The following is a 21,908-nucleotide window of genomic DNA, read 5'->3' on the forward strand; positions in this document are numbered from 1 at the left end:
CGCCAAGGGGCCCCGCTAATTTTTGTATTTTTTTGTAGAGACGGGGTCTCGCTGTGTTGCCCAGGCTCTCCTGGACTCAAGCGGGCTCACGGATCCTCCCACCTCGGCCACCCAAAGTGCTGGGGTTACAGGCGTGAGCCACCGCCCCCGGCCCTAGGTCCGTTTTAAATGCCCTTACCCTCAGCCACTTCACCGCTAGATGTATGTGCAAGCAGGATCGTGGCATCGATGTTTTTCGGCAAGGAAACTAGGAGCGCCCGCGGGCGTGGGGGCACGTGCCTGTGGTCTCAGCTGCTCTGGAGGCCGAGGAGGGAGGATCGCTTCGGGCAGAGAGGTCGAGGCTGCAGCAAGCCGTGGTCCTGCCACTGTACTCCAGCCTGGGCGACAGAGCGAGACCCCGTGTCTTAAAAAAAAAATTAAGGTCGGACGCAGTGGCTCACGCCTGTAATCCCAGCACTTTGGGAGGCCGAGGTGGGCGGATCACTTCAGGTCAGGAGTTCGAGACCAGCCTGGCCAACATGGTGAAACCCTGTCTCTACTACAAATACAAAAATTAACCGGGCGTGGTGGCGTGCGCCTTCAATCTCAGCTACTCGGGAGGCTGAGGCAGGAGAATCGCTTGAACCCGGGAAGCGGAGGTTGCGGTGAGCCGAGATCGCGCCATTGCACTCCAGCCTGGGCAACAAGAGCGAAACTCCGTCTCAAAAAAAAAGAAAAGAAAAGAAAAGAAAAAAACTAGGAGCAAACTGGCGCGCCCGGCAGAACGCCGTTGTGCAGACGCAGAATTAAGATCTTCACGCCAGATGGAGTGAAAAAGCAAGGAGCAGAAGATGGGTGGGAGCCCACTGCGCTTTTTAAAATCTGCACGTCTGCTTAGAGTACACAGAAATCCTGGCACACAAAACAGTAGCACCCGAGAGAGGGGAGGTCGCCGCGTTTCACACCTGCCTCTCCTCCGGGACCGGCGCCCTCGCCCGCTGCGCACGCGCGTCACCCTCTCCCAGTGCGCACGCGCGCTGCTGCCCGTCTGGCCCCGCAGGCTCGGTGAATCGAACGTTGAGCAGGGCGGTGGGTGGTGCGGAGTGCCGAGCGGCCTCACCCCCAACCGTCGGCCCAGTCGGACGGTTCCGAGGCGTTGCCGGGAGCCGGGCGCGGCTCTGTGTGGACTCGGAGAAACGCGGGTACATTTGGGGACACCGGGGACGAGAGCCCAGCCCGGACTTGGGGGAGTCCGTCAGTGCCGGACGCGGGTCCCTGGCTTGCGGACGGGCTGGGGCCGGGGGCGTCCCCGTCTTTCCGGAGCTGGGGGCGGGGTTCGGGCCCGGGCAGATGCGGCGTTCGGGCGGCCGAGCCCCGAAGTAAGAACTCCGTGGCGCGTGCAGCCCTAGGGAGGAAGGGCGTGCTGCGGGTGCAGTCTCAGGGTGAGGACGGAGCTGGGGCCGACGCAGCCTCGGGAGTTGGTGGACGGGACAGGTGCGGCCTGTGGGGAAGAAGGGCCGGCCAGGGAGATGCGGTCTGCAAGGGGAGAGGAGGCACTCCCAGGACAGATGGGACCTTTTGGGACGAAGGCGCTCAAGGCAGATGCAGCTCAGGGAGGGAAGGGCGCGTCCAGGGTAGATGGGGCCTGAGGAGACCAGCGGGGCGCCAACGGCCAGATGCGGCTTTGGTGTGAGACAGGGTGTCCCAGGCCTGATGCAGCCTCAAGAGAAGCGGAGCTCAAGGGAAGATGAAGCCTGGAGGAGAACGTGGGGGCGCAGGGTGCAAATGCACCCTCCAGGCGAGAAAGGGAGCACCCGGGGATGATGTGCCGCTGGGATAGAAGGCAGGGAGGCACTGGGGGCAGATGCATCCTTGAGGAGAGATGAGGAGGCCCCGAGGCTCGGCCAGGTTGGGGTCCCTGGGCTGTAAGCAGCTGAGATGGCACCCAGGAGCTGCCCAGGGTCAGGTAGCTGTGGCCGCACTGTGGGCTTCTGGTCGTCGGGGAGGGAGGGGAGAAACCCTGGCGTTCCTTAGCAGTGTTCTCGCGCCCAAGACGTGCTCGGCAGGTTTTGTGGAATGAGTTGTTGAAAGGAGTGAATGTCCAGTCCTGAGATCCCCTGAATTCCCACCCGAGTTCACTGCTAGTGCCCCTCACCCCACATGTCTACCTGAACCAAGGCTCCAGGAACTTCGGTCTTTCTCAGCAGCCCGGCTGTGCTGTGGTTCTCCTCGTGTGTCCGGGAGCCGGGTGGCTGGGGATCCCTTCTGTAGCCTCTCGTGAGCCCTCATGGACCACGGCTCCTCCCTTCTTTTCTAGGGCGTCTGCCTGAGCCCGCTTTTCTACAAGATGTGGGGATTTTTGAAGCGCCCTGTAGTGGTGACGGCTGACATCAACTTGAGCCTTGTGGCCCTGACTGGGATGGGGTTACTGAGCCGGCTGTGGCGACTCACCTACCCGCGGGCTGTGGTGTAAGCTAAATGACTCCATTCCCAGGGTGAATCTAGAATTGTACTTTGTGACAGGAGGCGCCCTTACTGAATAGCATAAATGGGAGAGTGAAATCCTGGCTTCTTGGTGATAGGTGTTTTTGGCAGTGAGAGGAGAGACCAGTCTGTCCCCAGGACAGCCCCAGCAGAGTACACCTTTTAGGTCTTGCCTTCTGAGTCTGTAACAGGTGAAATTTGGCCCATTAAAGGGGTGCAGTAGAGGAAAATCTGGTTGCCAGCCTTAAGTAACAGTTTTAAAGTCTGGACGGCAGAGGATTAATGGATTTGGAAGTAAGTCTTCACTGTTGAGAGCACTTTTTAGAATGTGTTTTTGTCATAATGGGAAGTGATTGCTGTTATTATTGAAGGGCTCTTTATTAACTGATTAATGTGTGTATGTGTGTGTGTGTGTGTGTGTGTGTGTGTGTGTGTGTTTTTGAGACGGAGTCTTGCTGTGTCGCCCAGGTTGGAGTGCAGTGGTGCCATCTCGGCTCACTGCAACCTCTGCCTCCTGGGTTCAAGCAATTCTCTGCCTCAGCCTCCCGAGTAGCTGAGATTACAGGTGCCCGCCACCACACCCAGCTAATTTTTGTATTTTTAGTAGAGACGGGATTTCACCATCTTGGCCAGGCTGGTATTGAACTCCTGACCTCATGATCCACCCACCTGGGTCTCCCAAAGTGTTAGGATTACAGGCGTGAGCCACTCCGCCCTGCTGCATGTTCTTTTTTGTTTAACTTTTTATTATGGAAAACGTCAAACATATACAAAAGCAGGGAGACAAGTATAATGAATGACCCCCCCACACACACCAGTATTTTCATTACCCAGCTTCACCTTATCAGTTCACAGCCAGGCCCCTCCCTGCAGTGGTTTTTACTTTGCAGCAAATCCTAGTATTCATAGATAATTCAGCGGTATATCTGTAAAAGATGAGGATTTTTTTTTTTTTTTTGGAGACATAGTTTTACTCTGTCGCCCAGGCTGTAGTGCAATGGTGCGATCGTGATTCTCCTACTTCAGCCTCCCGAGTACCTGGGATTACAGGCACCTGCCACCACGCCTGGCTCATTTTTGTATTTTTAGTAGAGAAGGGGTTTCACCATGTTGGCCAAGCTGATCTTGAACTCCTGACCTTGTGATCCACCTACCTTGGCCTCCCAAAGTGCTGGGATTACAGGCGTGAGCCACCGTGCCTGGCTGAGGATTCTTAAAAACAAAAATCACATAACCACAGTTGCATTATCATGCCTGAGAAATTGACAGCAGTTTCTTGGTTATCTTCACCTCTCCCTGATTGAAAACATGTTATTGCAGTTGATTCCCACGTTTTCCTTTCATACTTGCAGCCGTTTCATTGGGTCATCGCTAGCCACAGACATGTGCTGCTGGTGGGGGCGGGGGTGGGGGGGTTGGGTAGGTGGGTAAGCAGGATTAGCCTTGCGTCCCAGGAGGTCTTTCAGCAGGTTGGCTCATAGTATCCACCTAAATCAAACACAAGGGAGAGACAGAATCTGTATGGGCAGGCATGCTGAGTGCCAGCTGTGCTTGGTGAATTCCCCATGTCTCTGTGGGTGGGTGATGCTGTATGCATCTTAATATTTGGGGATGGGAAACAATTGGGGCAAAAGATCCAGCCTTTGCTGATCACTCACTCAAAGTCATTTGGAAACACATACACATTTATCCTCACAGTTTTTGTTTACAGTTAAGATTCTAATTGAATATAATATGGGTTGTTGTTTTTTTTTCTAGTTTTGACGAAGTATATTATGGGCAGTACATCTCTTTTTACATGAAACAAATCTTCTTCTTGGATGACAGTGGGCCGCCATTTGGCCACATGGTGCTGGCCTTGGGAGGTAGGAGTCATCAGGAGAGTAGCCCCTACCCTTCAGGACCTCAAATACATTTAAAACTTATCAGTGCATTTCTTACAGGCAGAAACCAGGTCTTATTATTGATGCATCTTGTTTATTGCTTGCCACAGTACTCTAGAAATATTTGCTGAATGGGATAGTTACTGATTAATCTTCTGTTTCAGGTTATTTAGGAGGATTCGATGGCAATTTTTTGTGGAACAGAATTGGAGCAGGTAAAAGATAATTTTCATTTCCCTTTTAATGTGCGCAGGTTAGAATGAAGAGATTGTGACTTTTGTAAGGATTAACAACTGTGGCTTTTTTTTTCCTTTCATACCTAGTCCCACAGAAACTGTGCCTTATTAATCTGAGTCCAGAAAATAATAAATTGGTTGGATACAAATGAAAGACTTCTGGAAAGTCTGGTTAAAATCTTACTGTTCAGTTGCAGTCATTATTTCAGCCCTTGTCGTTGGTACACGTATCACAGAGCGTCTGATTGTGATGATCGGTTGTACATGTGAATTTTGTCCATTGCCACAATGTTTTTGAAAATAGGGAGGGTAGGCCGGGCGCGCTGGCTCACGCCTGTAATCCTGGCACTTTGGGAGGCTGAGACGGGTGGATCATGAGGTCAGGAGATCGAGACCATTATGGCTAACATGGTGAAACCCCGTCTCTACTAAAAATACAAAAATTAGCCGGGCGTGGTGGCGGGCGCCTGTAGTCCCAGCAACTCGGGAGGCTGAGGCAGGAGAAGGGCGTGAACCCGGGAGGCGGAGCTTGCAGTGAGATGAGATGGCGCCACTGCACTCCGGCCTGGGGGACAGAGCAAGACTCCGTCTCAGAGAAAAAAAAAAAAAGAAAAAAGAAAACAGGGAGGGTAAATATGTATAAGTAAGGCGGTAAATTTTAGAATCCTTAGTCCTGTCTATGCTTCATGAGATCGGGTTCCATGACTATGCAAAGCTAATTTCAAAGCCTTCACCCATAGTTTATGCACTCTGCTGCTGATGGGGTCCCCAGTTTTGTAAACGTGCATTTTAGAGTCTGTGAACATGACGGCGCTATGTGAAAGCATAGCTGCAGTACACAGAGATGGTGTGTGCACAGTGTAGTCAGCTCTGCAGTGTGGTTGCTTTTCCAGAATACAGTAGCAACGTGCCTGTGTGGTCCCTGCGCCTGCTGCCAGCACTCGCGGGGGCCTTGTCGGTCCCCATGGCCTACCAGATAGTGTTGGAGCTCCACTTTTCTCATTGTGCCGCCATGGGAGCTGCTCTGTTGATGCTTATCGGTAAGACCTGCGCCCCTGCCTGCTCTTGCTGTCATGCAGGGAAGAACTGACCCTTTGGCCCGGAAGATCACATGGGCTTGGTGGGCGAGCTGCACCAGAAAGTGCATCTGGTTCATCCAAATTTGACGCTGCAAGTCACCCGCTCCCAGGCTGACCCCGTGGTTATGGGATTGCTGAATTGTGGGATCAGACTCTTATCAGCAGTCGGGGTATGGCAGTAGAAAACTGCCCAGATGCTGCTGCAAAGTCCATGCACACGTGGGCACCTCCATCTCCAACCAATCTTGTGACCAAATGATAACTTCCCCTTGTTCCACCACCTCCCAGGCCTTGGCCAATTGAGATGGACTCGTGAGTCAGTGGATCCTCTTCAGAGAGGGTCTTCCAGCTCACGTTTATGAACAGATGAAATTAAAGCAGATGAAAAGTTAGATTAGGCTGGGCGCAGTGGCTCACACCTATAATCCCAGCACTTTGGAAGGCTGAGGCGGGCAGATCACGAGGTCAGGAGTTTGAGACCAGCCTGGCCAACATGGTGAAACCCTGTCTAAAAATAACGAAAAATACAAAAAATTAGCTGGGTGTGGTGGCAGGTGCCTGTAATCCCAGCTACTTGGGAGGCTGAGGCAGGAGAATTGCTTGAACCTGGGAGGTGGAGGTGGCAGTGAGCCAAGACTGCGCCACTGCACTCCAGCCTGGGCAACAGAGCAAGACTCCATCTCAAAAAAAATAAATAAGCCGGGCACGGTGGCTCACACCTGTAATCCCAGCACTTTGGGAGGCTGAGGCGGGTGGATCACAAGGTCAAGAGATCGAGACCATCCGGGCCAACATGGTGAAACCCCATCTCTACTAAAAATACAAAAATTAGCTGGGCATGGTGGCACCCACCTTTTGTCCCAGCTACTCAGGAGGCTGAGGCAGGAGAATCGCTTGAACCCGGGAGGCGGAGGTTGCAGTGAGCCGAGATTGTACCACTGCACTCCAGCCTGGTGACAGAACAAGACTCTGTCTCAAAAAAATAAATAAATAAAATTAGCCAGGTGTGGTGGCATGCGCCTATAGTCCCAGCTACTCAGGAGCCTGAGGCAGGAGGATCCCTTGAGCCCTGGTGGTCAAAGCTGCAGTGAGCCATGATGGTGCCACTGCACTCCAGCCTGGGCGACAGAGCAAGACCCTGACTCAAAGAAAAGAAAGAGACAGTAGAAAATCAAAAGAGATGTGTATTGGGTGATGACTGTATGAGGCCTTGTGTCTATAGAATGTTTTAACATTCACAACAGCCCCACACAGTTGTATCGCTTCTGAAGTAATGCCTTTTTTCATGAGTGTTTTTCATCCTCATACGTTTTCCCTTGCTACCTTAAAATTGACATGTGTTTCCTCTTTGAAACAGAGAATGCTCTCATCACTCAGTCAAGGCTAATGCTTTTGGAATCAGTGTTAATATTTTTCAATCTATTGGCCGTGTTGTCCTACCTGAAGTTCTTCAACTGCCAAAAGCACAGGTATGGAAAATGGAGTGTCTTCCTAGTTAACGAGAACAGAGATTCTGGGTGGTTTGTTGATCTGAGATGGTCCAGTACCTTTTTTTGTTTCGTTTTGTGAGACAGTACCTTTTCATTTTGAGGAGTTGCTTGCTAAATATCTTTTTTTTTGAGACGGAGTCCCTGTCACCCAGGCTGGAGTGTAATGGCGCAATCTCGGCTCACTGCAACCTCCGCTTCCCAGGTTCAAGCAATTCTCCAGCCTCAGTCTCCCGAGTAGCTGAGATTACAGGCACACAGCACCATGTCTGGCTAATTTTAGTATTTTTAGTGGAGACGGGGTTTCACCATATTGGCCAGGCTGGTCTCAAACTCCTGACCTCAGGTGATCTACCCGTCTTGGCCTCCCAAAGTGTGGGGATTACAGGTGTGAGCCTCTGCGCCTAGTGCTAGATATCTTTTGGTCCTCTAATATTTTGGGGGTTGGCCCTTGGCTTGTGACTTCATAAATACATCTTCATTTTTCTATAATTTAAACTAACAGGACAACATTTTCTGGGCAAAAAGAAAAATTCTGCTGGGATGGATACTTTGGGAGATGGGAATTCTTTCTTACTGCCCCTGTGGCTCAGCATGGCCAGCCGACCCAGAAAGATTTCTCTGAAGAATGTGGAGCTTCACTAGCCTTTTGGAAATGTGTCTGAACTATTTCTGTCTCCATCTGCTTTGTTTTTATTCCAGCCCTTTTTCTCTGAGCTGGTGGTTCTGGCTAACACTGACAGGGGTCGCTTGTTCCTGTGCAGTGGGGTGAGTTTGAGCCTCTGGTCTTGGGCAGTGTCCTCCTCCATCTCCTTATGTTTTCCTGTCTCATGTTAACTCCATTTCTGTCATGTCTTTGCAGCATCAAGTACATGGGTGTGTTCACGTACGTGCTCGTGCTGGGTGTTGCAGCTGTCCATGCCTGGCACCTGCTTGGAGACCAGACTTTGTCCAATGTAGGTGCTGATGTCCAGTGCTGCATGAGGCCGGCCTGTATGGGGCAGATGCAGATGTCACAGGGGGTACTTGGTGAAAAGACTCCAATCCTCAATGTTTTAGAAGCAGGCAGGCCTGGGCAGCCTCGCCTCTTGGCCTCTGCAGGTGCCTCTGTATGGGAGGCCAGAGTTTCTGTCACTAACTTTTTCTAAGCTCACAATGTCTAGAGGTGGGTACGCTTTTCCACGCAGTGGAACATGACTTTTCTTTGAATCTCTGGCAGGTCTGTGTGTTCTGTCACTTGCTCGCCCGAGCAGTGGCTTTGCTGGTCATCCCGGTCGTCCTGTACTTACTGTTCTTCTACGTCCACTTGATTCTAGTCTTCCGCTCTGGGCCCCACGACCAAATCATGTCCAGTGCCTTCCAGGCCAGCTTAGAGGTAAGTAAGCAGTGGGCATCGTGGCCACTGGAGAAGGAAGATGATAGTGGACCCAGAGTTTTCTTACAAACACATCAAGTGAACATTAGCACTTGAATCAAAACATGAAGAATCCACATCCATATTTCTTTTTTTGGTGGGGGGGATGGAGTCTTACTCTGTCACCCAAACTCCGCCTCCTGGCTTCAAGCGATTCTCCTACCTCAGCCTCCCAAGTAGCTGGTATTACAAGCACCTGCAACCACACCCAGCTAATTTTTTTGTTTTGTTGGTAGAGATGGGGTTTCACCATGTTGGTCAGTCTGGTCTGGAACTCCTGACCTCAAGTGATCCGCCTGCCTCGGCCTCTCAAAGTGCTGGGATTATAGGCGTGAGCCACCGCGCCTGGCAGCTGGGAGCATTTTAAAGTCAAGTCTTACAAACCCTGGGCAGTTTCACCCGCCTTAAGGACCACACTCAACTGTGACCTTCATTCCTATGAACCTCGCAGCAGTGGTAGAAGGTATCAGTAGAGGTGGTCAGGACTGTGGTTCCTGAAGTCAGCCAAGCCTGCCGACGGCCAGTGCTGTAGTGCTGTGTGTTTCAGCAAGTTGTTTGGCTCACCCTAGTCTTGGTTTTCTCATCTCTTAGACAGACATCATCATTGCTCTTACCTCATTGGATGCTTGTAAGGACTGAATAGGGTGCGCGTGGAAGGCTGAACTGAGTGCCTGGCCCAGAGGCAGCATTTGATCAGACTTAGTGCTCATTATGGTTCTATAATGTAACGTGATGTGATTAAATGGGAGATCATTACCACTGTTACAAGAATGGCCACCAGCCTAAACATCACCCCAGAGGGAGGAGTGGCCATCGGGAAGGCTGGCTTAGGGTCATTTTTCTTTCTGTCTCTCACTCATCAACCTTCTGCTTCTGTCTCAGGGAGGACTAGCTCGGATCACTCAGGGTCAGCCACTGGAGGTGGCCTTTGGGTCCCAGGTCACTCTGAGGAACGTCTTTGGGAAACCTGTGCCCTGCTGGCTTCATTCCCACCAGGACACCTACCCCATGATGTAAGGTGATGGTTTTACTTTGAAGATAATTAAATGCTTTATTTGCTCGTAGATTTGCTTATCTTAGCAACTTTCCCTTTCTTTGAGGAAGTTTGTTTGCAGGACAGAAAGAAGTTGAGCAGCCCGGGTGCTGATTGCCAGTGAGCTTCGTGGTTCCCGGGTGTTGCTGGAGGGACTTGGCGTGTGGCAGGGCCCAGGGTCGGCCCCAGCTCTGTGGCTGTGGCTGACCTCAGCACTGCCTGCCTGAATCATCTGATTTCGGCTCCTTGTCTGTGGTATCTTCATTTTCCCTGAAACCCCTTGCTAGGTTGTATTTGTTGAAATCTGCTTCCCTTTGCAGAAACTTTAGGAGAAAGGCGTGTGGGCCCGATCGATGACCCACTTCCAGATACGTTTCTTTCCCTTTCTTTTCTTTTTCTCATAAATAGACACAGGGTCTCACTATGTTGCCCAGGCTGGTCTCAAACTCCTGGGCTCAAGCAGTTATCCTACCTCAGCCTCCCAAAGTGCTCTGATTACAGGCCTGAGCCACCGCGCCTGGCCCAGATACATCTCTTTGTTGACTTCACACAGATATGAGAACGGCCGAGGCAGCTCCCACCAGCAACAGGTGACCTGTTACCCCTTCAAAGATGTCAATAACTGGTGGATTGTAAAGGATCCCAGGAGGTGAGTGCAGGTCCTGTGACTCCAGAGCAGAGCTCACCTCCTGGCCTGGCCAGGCGAGACCCTGGGATGCAGTCCTGGGCCCCCTTCTTTCCCTCCCTCACTGACTCTAGTCACCGTCATGGCCTTGAACACCAGCTCAGTGCTGAGTCCAAGGTCAGAGGAATAGATCATGAGACCCTCAGTGAGCAGCCTGCTCAGTAGCTGCTCTGAGAAGTTTCCAGGCGAGCCTCAATGCCCCGACCTGTGTCCCTCTCCCTTCCTCATAAAAACAAGAACCCCCCTCCTGCAAAAGTAGCATCATCTTGCACACATCCCAGCTAGAGGTGCCCCTTGCTCTCATTCCCATATCCAGTCCTGTGGATTCTGCCCCCAAACAAGGTCTCTAGCTGTCCCGGTCACTGTCTCCTGATGGTGTCCTCCCATTGCTGCCTGCCCAGCTCCAGCACCTGCAGCCCGAGTGGGCTTTTTCTTTTTTTTCTTCTTATTTTTTCGGGGGACAGAGTCCCACCCTGTTGCCCAGGCTGGAGTGCAGTGGTACGATCTCGGCTCACTGCAACCTCCGCTTCCCGGGTTCAAGTGATTCTCCTGCCTCAGCCTCCCGAGTAGATAAGATTACAGGCGCCCACCACCACATCCTGGTAATTTTTGTATTTTTAGTAGAGACGGGGTTTCACCATGTTGGCCAGGCTGGTCTTGAACTCCTGACATCAAGTGGTCCACCCAGCTCAGCCTCCCAAAGTGCTGGGATTGCAGGTGTGAGCCACCACGCCCGGCCCCCTCATACACTTTCATTGGTGGAATGCCCTTCAGAAGGATTCCTTGGCAGTCATGGTACATTTGTCACTGTAGTGTTTGTAGACAAATTCAGAGCAATGCAGGTGTGATGACCGCGGGTAGAATCACATTCGGAAAATGACCTTTGGTTTCAGAAAAGAGCCCAATTAATGTCTGTGCTTTGGTTTCCTGTGTTCACCTCATGTGAGGCACACATGGGTTGGGAGGCAGTCTCAGCCATGAGAATTCAGAGCTGTGCCCCTCCGGTGCAGCTGTTAGTTCGAGGGGACCAGGCTCTGTGTGGTCCCGACAGCACTGTGTCTTCCAGGCACCAGCTGGTGGTGAGCAGCCCTCCGAGACCTGTGAGGCACGGGGACATGGTGCAGCTGGTCCACGGCATGACCACCCGCTCCCTGAACACGTGAGTGTGCCCGCCGTCTGCTCTGCTGCACCTGTGGGTTTCCTCTGTGGTTCTCTGTTCAGACCAAAACGTGAGCCCTGCCTTGGGCCGCTGCCCCCTGTCTACCCATCATCTGCATGTGTAGCAGCTCTTAGACCTACATTTGATGCCGGGAGGGGACCCAGGCCTGGCCGCGGAAGGGAGCGGGGTTAAGAGGAAGCAGGGGCTCTGTGAGGACTGGACAGAAGCACCTAGCACAGCCCATCCTAGGAGAGCTCAGGGCCCCGTGGATGAGTGTACAAGGACAGGCTGGGAATGTTGACCCGCTTTCTATGCAGAGAATGGAGTTTGGGCACACCTCCTTAAAGTGGTCAAGCTTAAAGTATGAGTGAGTCCAAGAAGCCTGGAAGCTCGGGCACGAGTGGAGCCGTGAAGGCTTCTTCCTTCTCAGTCCTTCGTCCTTGTCCGACTTGCCTTCCCGTGGTGCTGGGCACAGTTGCTCACACCCTCCTCCTTCCTCCCTGACTGCTCTCTCCACCGCCTCCTTTTCCTCTGTTGCTCTCAGTCTCTGAGGGCCCTCCGGCCTTGCTGCCTCTGCACAGGCCCAGTCCCGGGGCTACCTCTCCTGGACTTCCACCCGGCTGCCCGGGGCTCACCTCCAGCTCTCCACGACTCCCAGCTCCACAGGGGCGGTCTCTGGCCCTGGCTTTTCTGGTTCTCCCTGGAAAGGGCCCAGTAGCTGAGGCATCACCTGACTCCTTCCCCTCCCCTCCCATTGCATGTTGATTCCATTGGGAGATCCTGTTTCTCAACCTTCAGAACCAGCCCTGGGTAGGGGTCCTTCCTTCTCCCTCTACTCCCACCTCCTGGGGCCTGACCTCTCTACCTCGCAGCAGCCTGTCCGGCCTGCGGACCGTGCACAACCCACTTGCGTTGTTCCTCTGTGCTCAGTGACTCCCGTCACCCGCCAAGGTCCCTGGTGACCCTGACACACTTCACCCCCGCCACCCTGGCTCCCCCCAGCCCTGAAACAACCACCTGCGGGCCCCTTGGGGGCTTCACACTTGCTCCCTCTGCGAGAATGTTCTTGGACTTGGCTCCCCCATGGCCCCTCTATGTAGGGGTCTGCTGGGATGTCACTGCATCCAAAAGTGCCTCCTGGGTGCTGTCCCCCACCATTTGTTTTATTAGTGGCACTCCTACAGGTGCACGCTCTGCCCACCGGCATGATGGCTGTTTCCCAGAGGGCTGTGAGGGCCTTGTCTTGTTCACAGCTGGGTGGCTGCTCCTAGACAGTGCCAGGTGCATGGTGCGGTACCACATGGTTACTGAGTGTGTGGATTAAGAGGAAGTGGGTGTTCCTGACCGGGCGTGCTGGCTCACACCTGTAATCCCAGCACTTTGGGAGGCCAAGGTGGGCAGATCATTTGAGGTCAGGAGTTGGAGACAAGCTGGGCCAACATGGTGAAACCCCGTCTCTACTAAAAATACAAAAATTAGCCAGGCATGGTGGCATGTGCCTGTAATCCCAGCTAGACAGGAGGCTGAGGCAGGAGAATCGCTTGAACCCAGGAGGCAGAGATTGCAGTGAGCTGAGATCGCGCCATTTGCACTCCAGCCTGGGTGACAGAGTGAGACTCCATCTCAAAACAAAAAAGAAGTGGGTGTTCGTTAACATTGAGGTTGATAGCCTTTTCTCCCAGCTTATCTGCTGCGTCCCCAGGCCAGCTGGGCGCAGGGGCGGGCAGCTCAGCCCTGCAAGTTGTAGCATTGGTACTGCCAGCTGGCATCGCAGCAGTACCGGATCGGGCCTGGGCGCACGGTTCCTTCCTCTGAAACTTGGTTCGCTCGTCTAACAGGTGGAAGGTTCCACAGCAGAGTGTCCTTTTCTTTTGGAGATGTTCCCACAGGGCCTCCTGCCTGTTTAGTGTCCACTCCCATCGCCGAGCCTCAAGACCTCCGTCCTCAGTAGCAGCAACTCATGGGACTGGGCCACCCCTTATGGCTGAGCCGGCTTTGTTTCTGAAAAGCAACCTTTTCCTGCCTGAAAGATTTAGTAATTGCCTTCCAGAGGAGTTCAAGGAATTTTCTGAAATCTCGGTCTTGGTTTTCCAGGCATGATGTTGCAGCCCCCCTGAGCCCCCATTCACAGGAGGTCTCCTGCTACATTGACTATAACATCTCCATGCCCGCCCAGAACCTCTGGAGACTGGTGAGTAAGGCTGCGGCTATAGCAGCCACAACCGTCAGTAATGAACACTCCCTCACACGGAGCACTTCCTCACCCGGAGCACTCCCTAACACAGAGCACTTCCTAACAGAACACTTCATCACACGGAGCACTTCCTCTAACACGGAGCACTTCCTCTAACACAGGACACTTCCTCACACGGAACACTTCCTCACACGGAGCACTTCCTGTAACAGGACACTTCCTCACACGGAGCACTTCCTCTAACATGGAGCACTTCCTGTAACACAGGACACTTCCTCACACGGAGCACTTCCTCTAACACAGGACACTTCCTCACACGGAGCACTTCCTCACAGGGAGCACTTTCTCTAACACAGGACACTTCCTCACATGGAGCACTTCCTCACATGGAGCACTTCCTCACAGGGAGCACTTCCTCACACGGAACACTTCCTCTAACACAGGACACTTCCTCTCACACTCACACGGAGCACTTCCTCTAACACAGGACACTTCCTCACACGGAGCACTTCCTCACACGGAGCACTTCCTCTAACACAGGACACTTCCTCACACGGAGCACTTCCTCACATGGAGCACTTCCTCACAGGGAGCACTTCCTCACACGGAACACTTCCTCTAACACAGGACACTCTCACACTCACACGGAGCACTTCCTCTAACACAGGACACTTCCTCACACAGAGCACTTCCTCACACGGAGCACTTCCTCACACGGAACACTTCCTCACACGGAACACTTCCTCACACGGAACACCTCCTCACACGGAACACTTCCTCACACGGAGCACTTCCTCACACGGAACACCTCCTCACACGGAGCACTTCCTCACACGGAGCACTTCCTCTAACAGAACACTTCCTCACACGGAGCACTTCCTCACAGGGAGCACTCCATCACACGGAGCACTTGCTCACACGGAGCACTTCCTGACATGGAATGTTTGAAACTGCCGTTGAGAATAATCATTTTTCCTTTTTTTCAGTTTACCCAGTTGAGGTTGGATATTTAGAATAATTCTGATTCAGATGTAAAGTTACATAAGTTTTATTCGTACATAAAGTCACAGATGTTTTCACAGGGAACCGATGCGTCTTCCTTGGTGGAACTGGGGAACCTGGTGGTTTCCTGCATCAGAGGCCTGTGTTCACTGAGATTCTAAATGCTTTGTGTTTGCTCCATGTTGGGTGCCAGGTGCGCTTGAGGCTCTGCCAGGTGAAAGTTCTCCCAACCTGTTTAGCCTCAGGAGCAGGTCCTGAACACAGGACACGAGCTCCAGCCACCCCTCTGCCACCATGATCCAGGAGAAATTCCATTTCTCAGGATTTCCCTGGGGACAGGCTTAGCCGTGAGTGCGGGGGATGTTCCTGAGGCGCTGGGTCTGTGGTCACCTTTCCTTCCAGCGACCAGGGCCACCTGCTCCCCTTACGGAATCGGGTCTCCTGGGAAAGGTTCCATAAAAAGTCTTCTGTTACTGGACCATGTTGCCATCTGAATCTAAGGACATGGACACTAAATGCAGCCCAGCCCCATGACCACAGTGAAGGCACTGGGCTTATTTCCATAGTGAGGTCACACCCCCCCTTCTAGCTTCCCACTGGCTTCAGCGCTTTCTGCCTACGCAGGCTCAGCCCTGTTTCGCTTGACAGAGTTAGCACCACGTCCTCATGGCCAGCCCTCACAGCAAAGCCAGGTATCTGCTGATGTTCTTTTTTTTTTTTTGCGACTGGGTCTCACTCTGTCACCCAGGCTGAAGTGCAGTGGCGTGATCTTGGCTTACTGCAGTGTTGGCCTCCCAAGCTTAGGTGATCCTCCCACCTCTGCCTCTTGGTATTACAGGTTAGCCACCATGCCTGGCCCCTGTTAATTTTGAATATTTAATTTTTAAAATATTTTTTCTATTCCAGGACAGTCTGATTTTTAAAATTTTTTGTGGAGATGGGGTCTTGCTATGTTGTCCAGGCTGGTCTTGAACTCCTGGACTCAAGCCGTCCTCTTACCTCAGCCTCCCAGAGTCGCTGGGATGACAAGTGTGAGCCACTGCTCCAGATTGGCTGTTCCATTTTTGTGCAGAGTGCGCCCCTCTGCCCCACTCGCCGTCTCTGTGCTCTGCATATCTGTGTGCGTTCTGCATTTCCATCCCCGCCCCCCCACAGTCCTTCCCTGACGTGAGTGCTGTGCCCCTTCTCACGGGCACCCTTCTCTGTCCTTTCTGATGGCCCCTTTGGCACCAGGAGCCCACATTTCAGGTGTCTGAAGTTCATAGAACAAGGAAGGAGGGAGCATGCGTGAGGTGTGCGCGCCCGGCCTGCGGCATGGACCGCGGCCAGGCCTCCTCATGCCTGCTCCTGCCTAGCTTCTTGGGTTCTCTGGTTGTGACAGTATGGGAAAATGACAGTCATGTGATGTCATGGGGTCATTGTGAGGCTCCAGTATGTCAGGCTGTGACAAGGCAAAGTGCCTTTCAGATGTTAGTTGTCTTTTTTATTACTCGATGCGAGGAAATCTCTAAGCTGTGTCTGGCAGGGACAGTGTCTGGCCTTCATCTGAGCTGTCTGCGAGTCCTGCCAGATAGGGACTGAGACTTGCTCACTTTTTGGCCAGGGCTCTGAGCCCTATGAATAGGCTTTGCAGAGAGGCACGAAGAACATCAGGCTTTGTATTTTCTGTGAGGAGGCCTCTTGTACGGCCTTGGCGAGGAGGAGGGTGCACTTCCCCAGCGACCCTCGGAGCAGCCCGGGGTGCTGTGGGCATTGGGAAGGAAGGCCAGTACCAGCCCCTTATAGCTTCCCTCACTTGGGGACTTGTCCCTTTGTCTCAGGCTCAAGTCAGTATCATTGTTTGGTGACAGGTCTTTATTTTTACATTGAAGGAAATTTGAAAAGGAATGAAATAATCCTTGAGATGTCTTTTTGCAGGAAATTGTGAACAGAGGATCTGACACAGACGTCTGGAAGACCATCCTCTCAGAGGTCCGCTTTGTGCACGTGAACACTTCCGCTGTCTTAAAGGTAAGGACACTGTCCGTGGCTTGGCCTGTCCTGAGCTGTGGGCTCCAGTCTGTTTCCCAAGCCCCTCAGGCTTCACCGCCTCTCTGCAGGCGGAACGCTTCATTTGAGTCATCATGGCTTCCTCTTACACTGAGGGAGGGCGGCTTTTGTAACTTCTCAGGATGGAATCCCAATGTGAATCTCCCACAAGGGGCACCTGCTGACAGCGTGACCCGGGCAGGGGTTCCCCTTCCAACCCAAGTGGACACGGGAGCCACGGCCTTCCCATCACGCCCTTTACTCTCCTGCGGTGTCACCAGCTGAGCGGGGCTCACCTCCCTGACTGGGGGTATCGGCAACTGGAGATCGTCGGGGAGAAGCTGTCCCGGGGCTACCACGGGAGCACGGTGTGGAACGTGGAGGAGCACCGATACGGCGCGAGTGAGTCCGCGGCGTGGCTTCCGCCGCTCCTGGAATGTACTTTCAGCTGCTCAATATTTGATAACACCCCAGAGTTCTCATTTTGGTGGGAAGGGAACTGAGCACATTCTCCATGCTCGGTGGCAGGTCATCTCCCTCCCTGCACCCTGCACTCAGCTGCTGCAGTAATAACTCAAGACGCTTCTTCCGAGGTGTCGCTGGAAGGCAACCAGTTTATCCCCGTGCAAGTGGAGCTTTCTCAGGGTCGAAATCACCTCATTTGACCGGGCAGTCTTGGGTGTGGTGGGGAAAGCTAAGTGGAATGATGCGGTTCGATAAGGGGTCTTTGTTAGAAAGGCAGGAAGCCAGCTTTTTGCTGCACTGACAGCTTCTGCTCTGAGCTCTTGACCTTGTGCTACTTCTATCTGTTATGCCCTTGTCTGTTCTGCCAGGCCAGGAGCAGAGGGAGCGGGAACGGGAGCTGCACTCACCTGCGCAGGTGGACGTCAGCAGGAACCTCAGCTTCATGGCGAGATTCTCGGAGCTGCAGGTGAGGAGCGGCCAGGGGAAGCTGGCCTAGCTCGCTGAGCATTGACTCCTCAGCAGGGAGGCCTGGGGGCTGCACAGGACTCAAACCAGAGTCAGGCTTTGACGCTGGAGCTACAGGCTCACAACAGAATGAGTGTCTCCTCTCTCCAGTGTAAGGGACTGTGTGTGACACCCCTGGCCCACACCTTGTGGCCCTGTGGTCAGGAATAATAGGGACCCAGGAGGTTCTGCAACATCGCCAGGGTGTCTTAAGGCCCCCAGGCAGCGAAATGGGCCACACTCAACAGAGCCCAAGAGAAGTCACAATCAGAAACTCACGGTCACAAATCTGAACGTGACCTTAGAGAGCATTCAGCCCAATCACTTCGTCTACAGAGGAGGTAACTGGAGCACATAGGGTGGGGCGACCCTCCCAAGGCCACATTCAGGGCTGGAATCCAGGTTCTCATCATGCTGCCTCCGATGCATGATCCGAATGAACTTGAGCTGGGCCAGTCCACGTGCAAGGGGCAGCAGTGTACTCCTTTGACCAAATCCACGCACAGCGGGAGGCATCCCCCATCCTCAATCTCAGAGGCCTCTGCTTTGTTCCAGTGGAGGATGCTGGCGCTGAGAAGTGATGACTCGGAACACAAGTACAGCTCCAGCCCACTGGAGTGGGTCACCCTGGACACCAATATTGCCTACTGGCTGCACCCCAGGACCAGCGTAAGCGAGCGATGCTGACAGCTGACAGTCATAGATTCATCCTGTTTCTTGAGAATTCCTTGCATTAAGAGCAGCCGCTGCACCCTAGAAAGTGCTGGGTTTCTCCCAAGCTTTTCCTGACAAAGGCCTGTGACTTGGTTTTCTCTAAACGCTTTGGCAACCTGGAGCCAGGAGTAGGGGTGTGGCATGTGTGCCTGTTGAAGGAAACCCGGCTTGATTGCTTTTGTGGAGACACATTGTTCCCCTTTTCCTGGCGAAAGTGGTTTTAAGATATTCCCATTCAATTTTCCGTGTGGCACCTGGTGGTGGAGCTTACCGGTGCTTTGCTGATGTGCGTGCCGTCTCTCCACCCGGCAGAGTGAAAGCATTGGTAGGCCGGGCGCACAGTCAGCGCCCCATAAATATTCACTGAATGGGCAGACGCTGGAAATGCCCACCTTTTTCCTCCTCCCTCAGAGGCGGGTAGGTCGGCTCAGCATGTGCACTGAAGGCAGAGGCTCAGGCCCAGAGGCCGCCCCACCCCGAGCTCTGAGCGCACTTTGCATTCTCCTCCGTGGACAGCGCTGCTGTTACAAAGTGGAGTCATCTGCTCCCAATTTTCAGTTTCCAATTACAAAATTGAGAGCATCAGTGCTGTGTGTGTGTGTGTATGTGAGAGAGAAAGAGAGAGACGGAGTCTTGCTCTGTCATCCAGGCTGGAGTACAGTGGCGTGATCTTGGCTCACTGCAACCTCCACCTCCCAGGTTCAAGCAGTTCTCCTGCCTCAGCCTCCAAGTAGCTGGTATTACAGGTGCCCACCGCAATGCCCAGCTAATTTTTGTACTTTTTAATAGAGACGGGGTTTCGCCACGTTGGGCAGGCTGGTCTCAAACTCCTGACTTCAGGTGATCTGCCCACCTCAGCTTCCCAAAGTGCTGGGATTACAGGCATGTGCCACCACACCCGGCTGGCATCAGTGCTTTTAATGAAAGGTCTGAGTAGGAGCAGACCTGTCCACAGTAGTAGTAAGGCCTAGTGGATGCTAGGCTGTGCCTGGCGTTTTTTCACTCTGCTAAAGTAGTGCGTGCATCTGAATTCCTTTCCTGTGTTCTCTTCTCTTCCCTCCCTGAGCAGAGGGCAGGTGGCTAACAGCATCTCCCATGTTCCCTTAGGCTCAGATCCACCTACTTGGAAACATAGTGATCTGGGTTTCGGGCAGCCTCGCTCTGGCCATCTACGCCCTGCTGTCCTTGTGGTACCTGCTCCGACGGCGAAGAAATGTCCATGACCTCCCTCAGGGTTAGTACCTCTCCCACATGGCTTTCTTTCTTTTTAATATAGACATGGGGTCTTGCTGTGTTGTCCAGGGTGTTCTTGAACTCCTGGGCTTAAGCGATCCTCCTGCCTCGGCCTCCCATAGTGCTAGGATTACAGGTGTGCGCTGAGCATTCACCGCCTCAAGTGACAAACCGACTTCATAGGAACCTACCCCTTAACGCGGCCTCTTTGTTTCTGTATTGTGGAATCTTAAATTATGTTTGTCTCCCAAGAGACAAAATGTTAAGTTCCCATGTTGCGTTAGAGGTGTCTCCAGTCGAGTGCAGCGTATTGGGCAGGAATTGCCCTCTTGGTCCCATGTTGCCCGTATGCGCTGGAAATGGCTGGGTAACACAGGCAGCCAGGCCGGGCGCGGTGGCTTACACCTGTAATCCCAGCACTTTGGGAGGCCAAAGTGAGGGAGTCACCTGAGGCCAGGAGTTCAAAACCAGCCTGGGCAACATAGTAAGAACCCTCTCTCTAAAAAAGCAAAAGAGAGAGAAGACCCGGCCTGTGGGAGCAGCAGAGTCGGTGTAGCTCGAGCCCTTTCCTATAGATGCCTGGCTGCGCTGGGTGCTGGCTGGGGCGCTGTGTGCCGGTGGCTGGGCAGTGAACTACCTCCCGTTCTTCCTGATGGAGAAGACACTCTTCCTCTACCACTACCTGCCCGCACTCACCTTCCAAATCCTTCTGCTCCCTGTGGTCCTGCAGCACATCAGCGACCACCTGTGCAGGTACGGGGGCTGCGGAGACAGTGGCTGGACCGGGCAGCAGCCCTCTGCTGGGAAGCCCATGCGCAGCAAACACATGGGGTGCAGCGAACCTCACCCATTTCACGTTACACTGACATCCTCCGGGTCCCTCCGGGGAATGGGTGAGGTTCAGAAGAGATGCCCAGATGAGGCACTGCAGGAACCCAGAGGGAGAAGTCGCGGCTGACAGAGATGAAAGCGGAGTGGGTGGGGAGACGGGGAGGGGATGAAGAGATGTGGGTGGCCTGGAGGATTCGGGAGCAGGGAGCAAGGCCCAGGAGCCTGGGGTGTCAGAAACGGCAGCTGGTTATGGTCGGGTTGTGTGGTGTGGTGGAGAGAACCCAAGAAAGCTTCTAAACCAGAGTGTGTTTGGAGGTTGGAGCAGAGGGCGAGGGCCTCCCGGTTTCAGGAAGCCACACAAGGGAGGACCGTGGGTTTGGGACCAGTCCTCTGGCATCTGTGTGGAGGTGGCCCAGCCACTGTGGAGGCCTGAGGAGTCATCAGGGGGCCCCTCTCAGTGCATCCAGGTGGGAGATGGTCATGGGTGGCAGGAGACAAGACACAGAAACCTGAAGGCAGAACCCCAGGCCTCGGGGGGTGACCGTGTGGACAGCAGATGCCAAGAGGGTGCCGGGCAGGGAAGCCGCAGTGGTCAGCCACCCTCCCCCACGCTGCTCTGACCTCTGCAGGTCCCAGCTCCAGAGGAGCATCTTCAGCGCCCTGGTGGTGGCCTGGTACTCCTCCGCGTGCCACGTGTCCAACACGCTGCGCCCACTCACCTACGGGGACAAGTCACTCTCGCCACATGAACTCAAGGCCCTTCGCTGGAAAGACAGCTGGGACATCTTGATCCGAAAACACTAGAACAAGAGTGTGGCAAAGAACACCCGTGCTGGGGTCGGGATGAGGTTGAAGGGTCTTGGTCAATGTACGTAATGAGCAGGGTGGGCCCCACGCTGGGAGGACACGGGCTGGGCTGAGCAGGGCCTCTAGTGGAACACATGGGGGTCTCATTGAAAAGCTCTCTGATGAGCACCTCCTTTTGTGCAAAGTTAATTTTTTCTCGACAATAAAGATATTCCGTGTCTTTACCCCTGAACTAAGACACAGGGAGTATTTCAGAGGCCAGCGTAGGAGTCATTGACAACAAAAAGCCGAGAACCCAGGGCCAGCAGTGGAGCCTCAGCAGACCAGGGCCTGGTCCTTGCTAACTGCTGCAGGGTGGAGTTTGATCTGGCAGACCCGATCCTCCTTCATGAACACCCAGCAACCTGAGCAAGTCCCGGCCCTGCCCTCAGCGAGCCCGGCAGGCGTCCTGGGACAGCTCAGTGTTGGAGGGCCACCTGAACCACGAGCCAGGGCTGGGGCTTGCATGTCATTGTCTATGACAGCGTCAAGACTGGCCCTTGGCACCGTGCTGTGTGGAAACCCTCCCCTCTGAGACTCCACTGAGACGTGGCTGAGTGAAATCTTCCTCGTCAGTGGTCAAGGTGTGTCATCCATACAGCTCCATGCCTTTGTCTTTTTTAAATGTAATTAAAAAAGGAACCAACTGGCG

At 53.5% G+C, this 21,908-nt stretch overlaps 1 protein-coding gene and 1 long non-coding RNA gene across 45 annotated transcripts, besides 9 other annotated features; one reads left to right on the forward strand and one right to left on the reverse strand.

Moving 5' to 3' along the window:
- Positions 812–1,679: an enhancer, noted in NCBI's record as "H3K27ac-H3K4me1 hESC enhancer chr9:134378091-134378958 (GRCh37/hg19 assembly coordinates)". NCBI's record gives its function as "activates a minimal SCP1, AML or CMV promoter by ChIP-STARR-seq in naive and primed H9 embryonic stem cells {active_cell/tissue: H9 hESC(naive and primed)}" and the evidence as "EXISTENCE:reporter gene assay evidence [ECO:0000049][PMID:30033119]".
- Positions 927–1,126: a silencer, noted in NCBI's record as "silent region_20417". NCBI's record gives its function as "represses an Ori minimal core promoter by ATAC-STARR-seq in GM12878 lymphoblastoid cells {active_cell/tissue: GM12878}" and the evidence as "EXISTENCE:reporter gene assay evidence [ECO:0000049][PMID:35858748]".
- On the forward strand, positions 1,026–21,907 carry POMT1 (protein O-mannosyltransferase 1). 44 transcript variants are annotated; one of them, NR_148399.2, is made up of 21 exons: positions 1,026–1,421; positions 2,297–2,448; positions 4,222–4,328; positions 4,511–4,561; positions 5,476–5,622; positions 7,019–7,130; positions 7,851–7,916; positions 8,011–8,104; positions 8,368–8,523; positions 9,445–9,575; positions 10,149–10,244; positions 11,347–11,439; positions 13,534–13,630; positions 16,553–16,645; positions 16,806–17,065; positions 17,497–17,594; positions 18,188–18,301; positions 19,454–19,580; positions 20,155–20,332; positions 21,040–21,278; positions 21,455–21,907. NR_148399.2 is itself a non-coding variant. In NM_001353198.2 (20 exons), exons 3-20 carry the CDS (start codon positions 4,262–4,264, stop codon positions 21,212–21,214), a joined length of 2,082 nt encoding a protein of 693 aa, NP_001340127.2. In that variant the 5' UTR covers positions 1,026–1,421; positions 2,297–2,757; positions 4,222–4,261; the 3' UTR covers positions 21,215–21,907. The 44 variants fall into 44 exon arrangements, 28 of the variants coding, with proteins under 28 accessions (NP_001340127.2, NP_001340122.2, NP_001129585.1 ...); NR_148392.2 differs by having other exon boundaries at positions 1,026–1,181; positions 8,011–8,170; positions 16,945–17,065; XR_001746160.3 differs by having other exon boundaries at positions 1,026–1,181; positions 16,945–17,065.
- Positions 1,197–1,346: a silencer, noted in NCBI's record as "silent region_20418". NCBI's record gives its function as "represses an Ori minimal core promoter by ATAC-STARR-seq in GM12878 lymphoblastoid cells {active_cell/tissue: GM12878}" and the evidence as "EXISTENCE:reporter gene assay evidence [ECO:0000049][PMID:35858748]".
- Positions 1,680–2,545: an enhancer, noted in NCBI's record as "H3K27ac-H3K4me1 hESC enhancer chr9:134378959-134379824 (GRCh37/hg19 assembly coordinates)". NCBI's record gives its function as "activates a minimal SCP1, AML or CMV promoter by ChIP-STARR-seq in naive and primed H9 embryonic stem cells {active_cell/tissue: H9 hESC(naive and primed)}" and the evidence as "EXISTENCE:reporter gene assay evidence [ECO:0000049][PMID:30033119]".
- Positions 1,917–1,976: an enhancer, noted in NCBI's record as "active region_29190". NCBI's record gives its function as "activates an Ori minimal core promoter by ATAC-STARR-seq in GM12878 lymphoblastoid cells {active_cell/tissue: GM12878}" and the evidence as "EXISTENCE:reporter gene assay evidence [ECO:0000049][PMID:35858748]".
- Positions 2,457–2,536: an enhancer, noted in NCBI's record as "active region_29191". NCBI's record gives its function as "activates an Ori minimal core promoter by ATAC-STARR-seq in GM12878 lymphoblastoid cells {active_cell/tissue: GM12878}" and the evidence as "EXISTENCE:reporter gene assay evidence [ECO:0000049][PMID:35858748]".
- Positions 2,547–2,616: an enhancer, noted in NCBI's record as "active region_29192". NCBI's record gives its function as "activates an Ori minimal core promoter by ATAC-STARR-seq in GM12878 lymphoblastoid cells {active_cell/tissue: GM12878}" and the evidence as "EXISTENCE:reporter gene assay evidence [ECO:0000049][PMID:35858748]".
- Positions 10,927–11,427: an enhancer, noted in NCBI's record as "H3K4me1 hESC enhancer chr9:134388206-134388706 (GRCh37/hg19 assembly coordinates)". NCBI's record gives its function as "activates a minimal SCP1, AML or CMV promoter by ChIP-STARR-seq in primed H9 embryonic stem cells {active_cell/tissue: H9 hESC(primed)}" and the evidence as "EXISTENCE:reporter gene assay evidence [ECO:0000049][PMID:30033119]".
- Positions 11,428–11,928: an enhancer, noted in NCBI's record as "H3K4me1 hESC enhancer chr9:134388707-134389207 (GRCh37/hg19 assembly coordinates)". NCBI's record gives its function as "activates a minimal SCP1, AML or CMV promoter by ChIP-STARR-seq in naive H9 embryonic stem cells {active_cell/tissue: H9 hESC(naive)}" and the evidence as "EXISTENCE:reporter gene assay evidence [ECO:0000049][PMID:30033119]".
- LOC105376301 (uncharacterized) lies at positions 14,666–16,011 on the reverse strand. The gene is made up of 2 exons (XR_930402.3): positions 15,635–16,011; positions 14,666–15,131 (listed from the first exon to the last, which is right to left on the reverse strand). It is a non-coding gene; the product is annotated as an uncharacterized LOC105376301 (long non-coding RNA).

This window comes from Homo sapiens, chromosome 9, assembly GCF_000001405.40.
Source record: "Homo sapiens chromosome 9, GRCh38.p14 Primary Assembly".
In the NCBI taxonomy this organism is placed as follows: domain Eukaryota; kingdom Metazoa; phylum Chordata; class Mammalia; order Primates; family Hominidae; genus Homo; species Homo sapiens.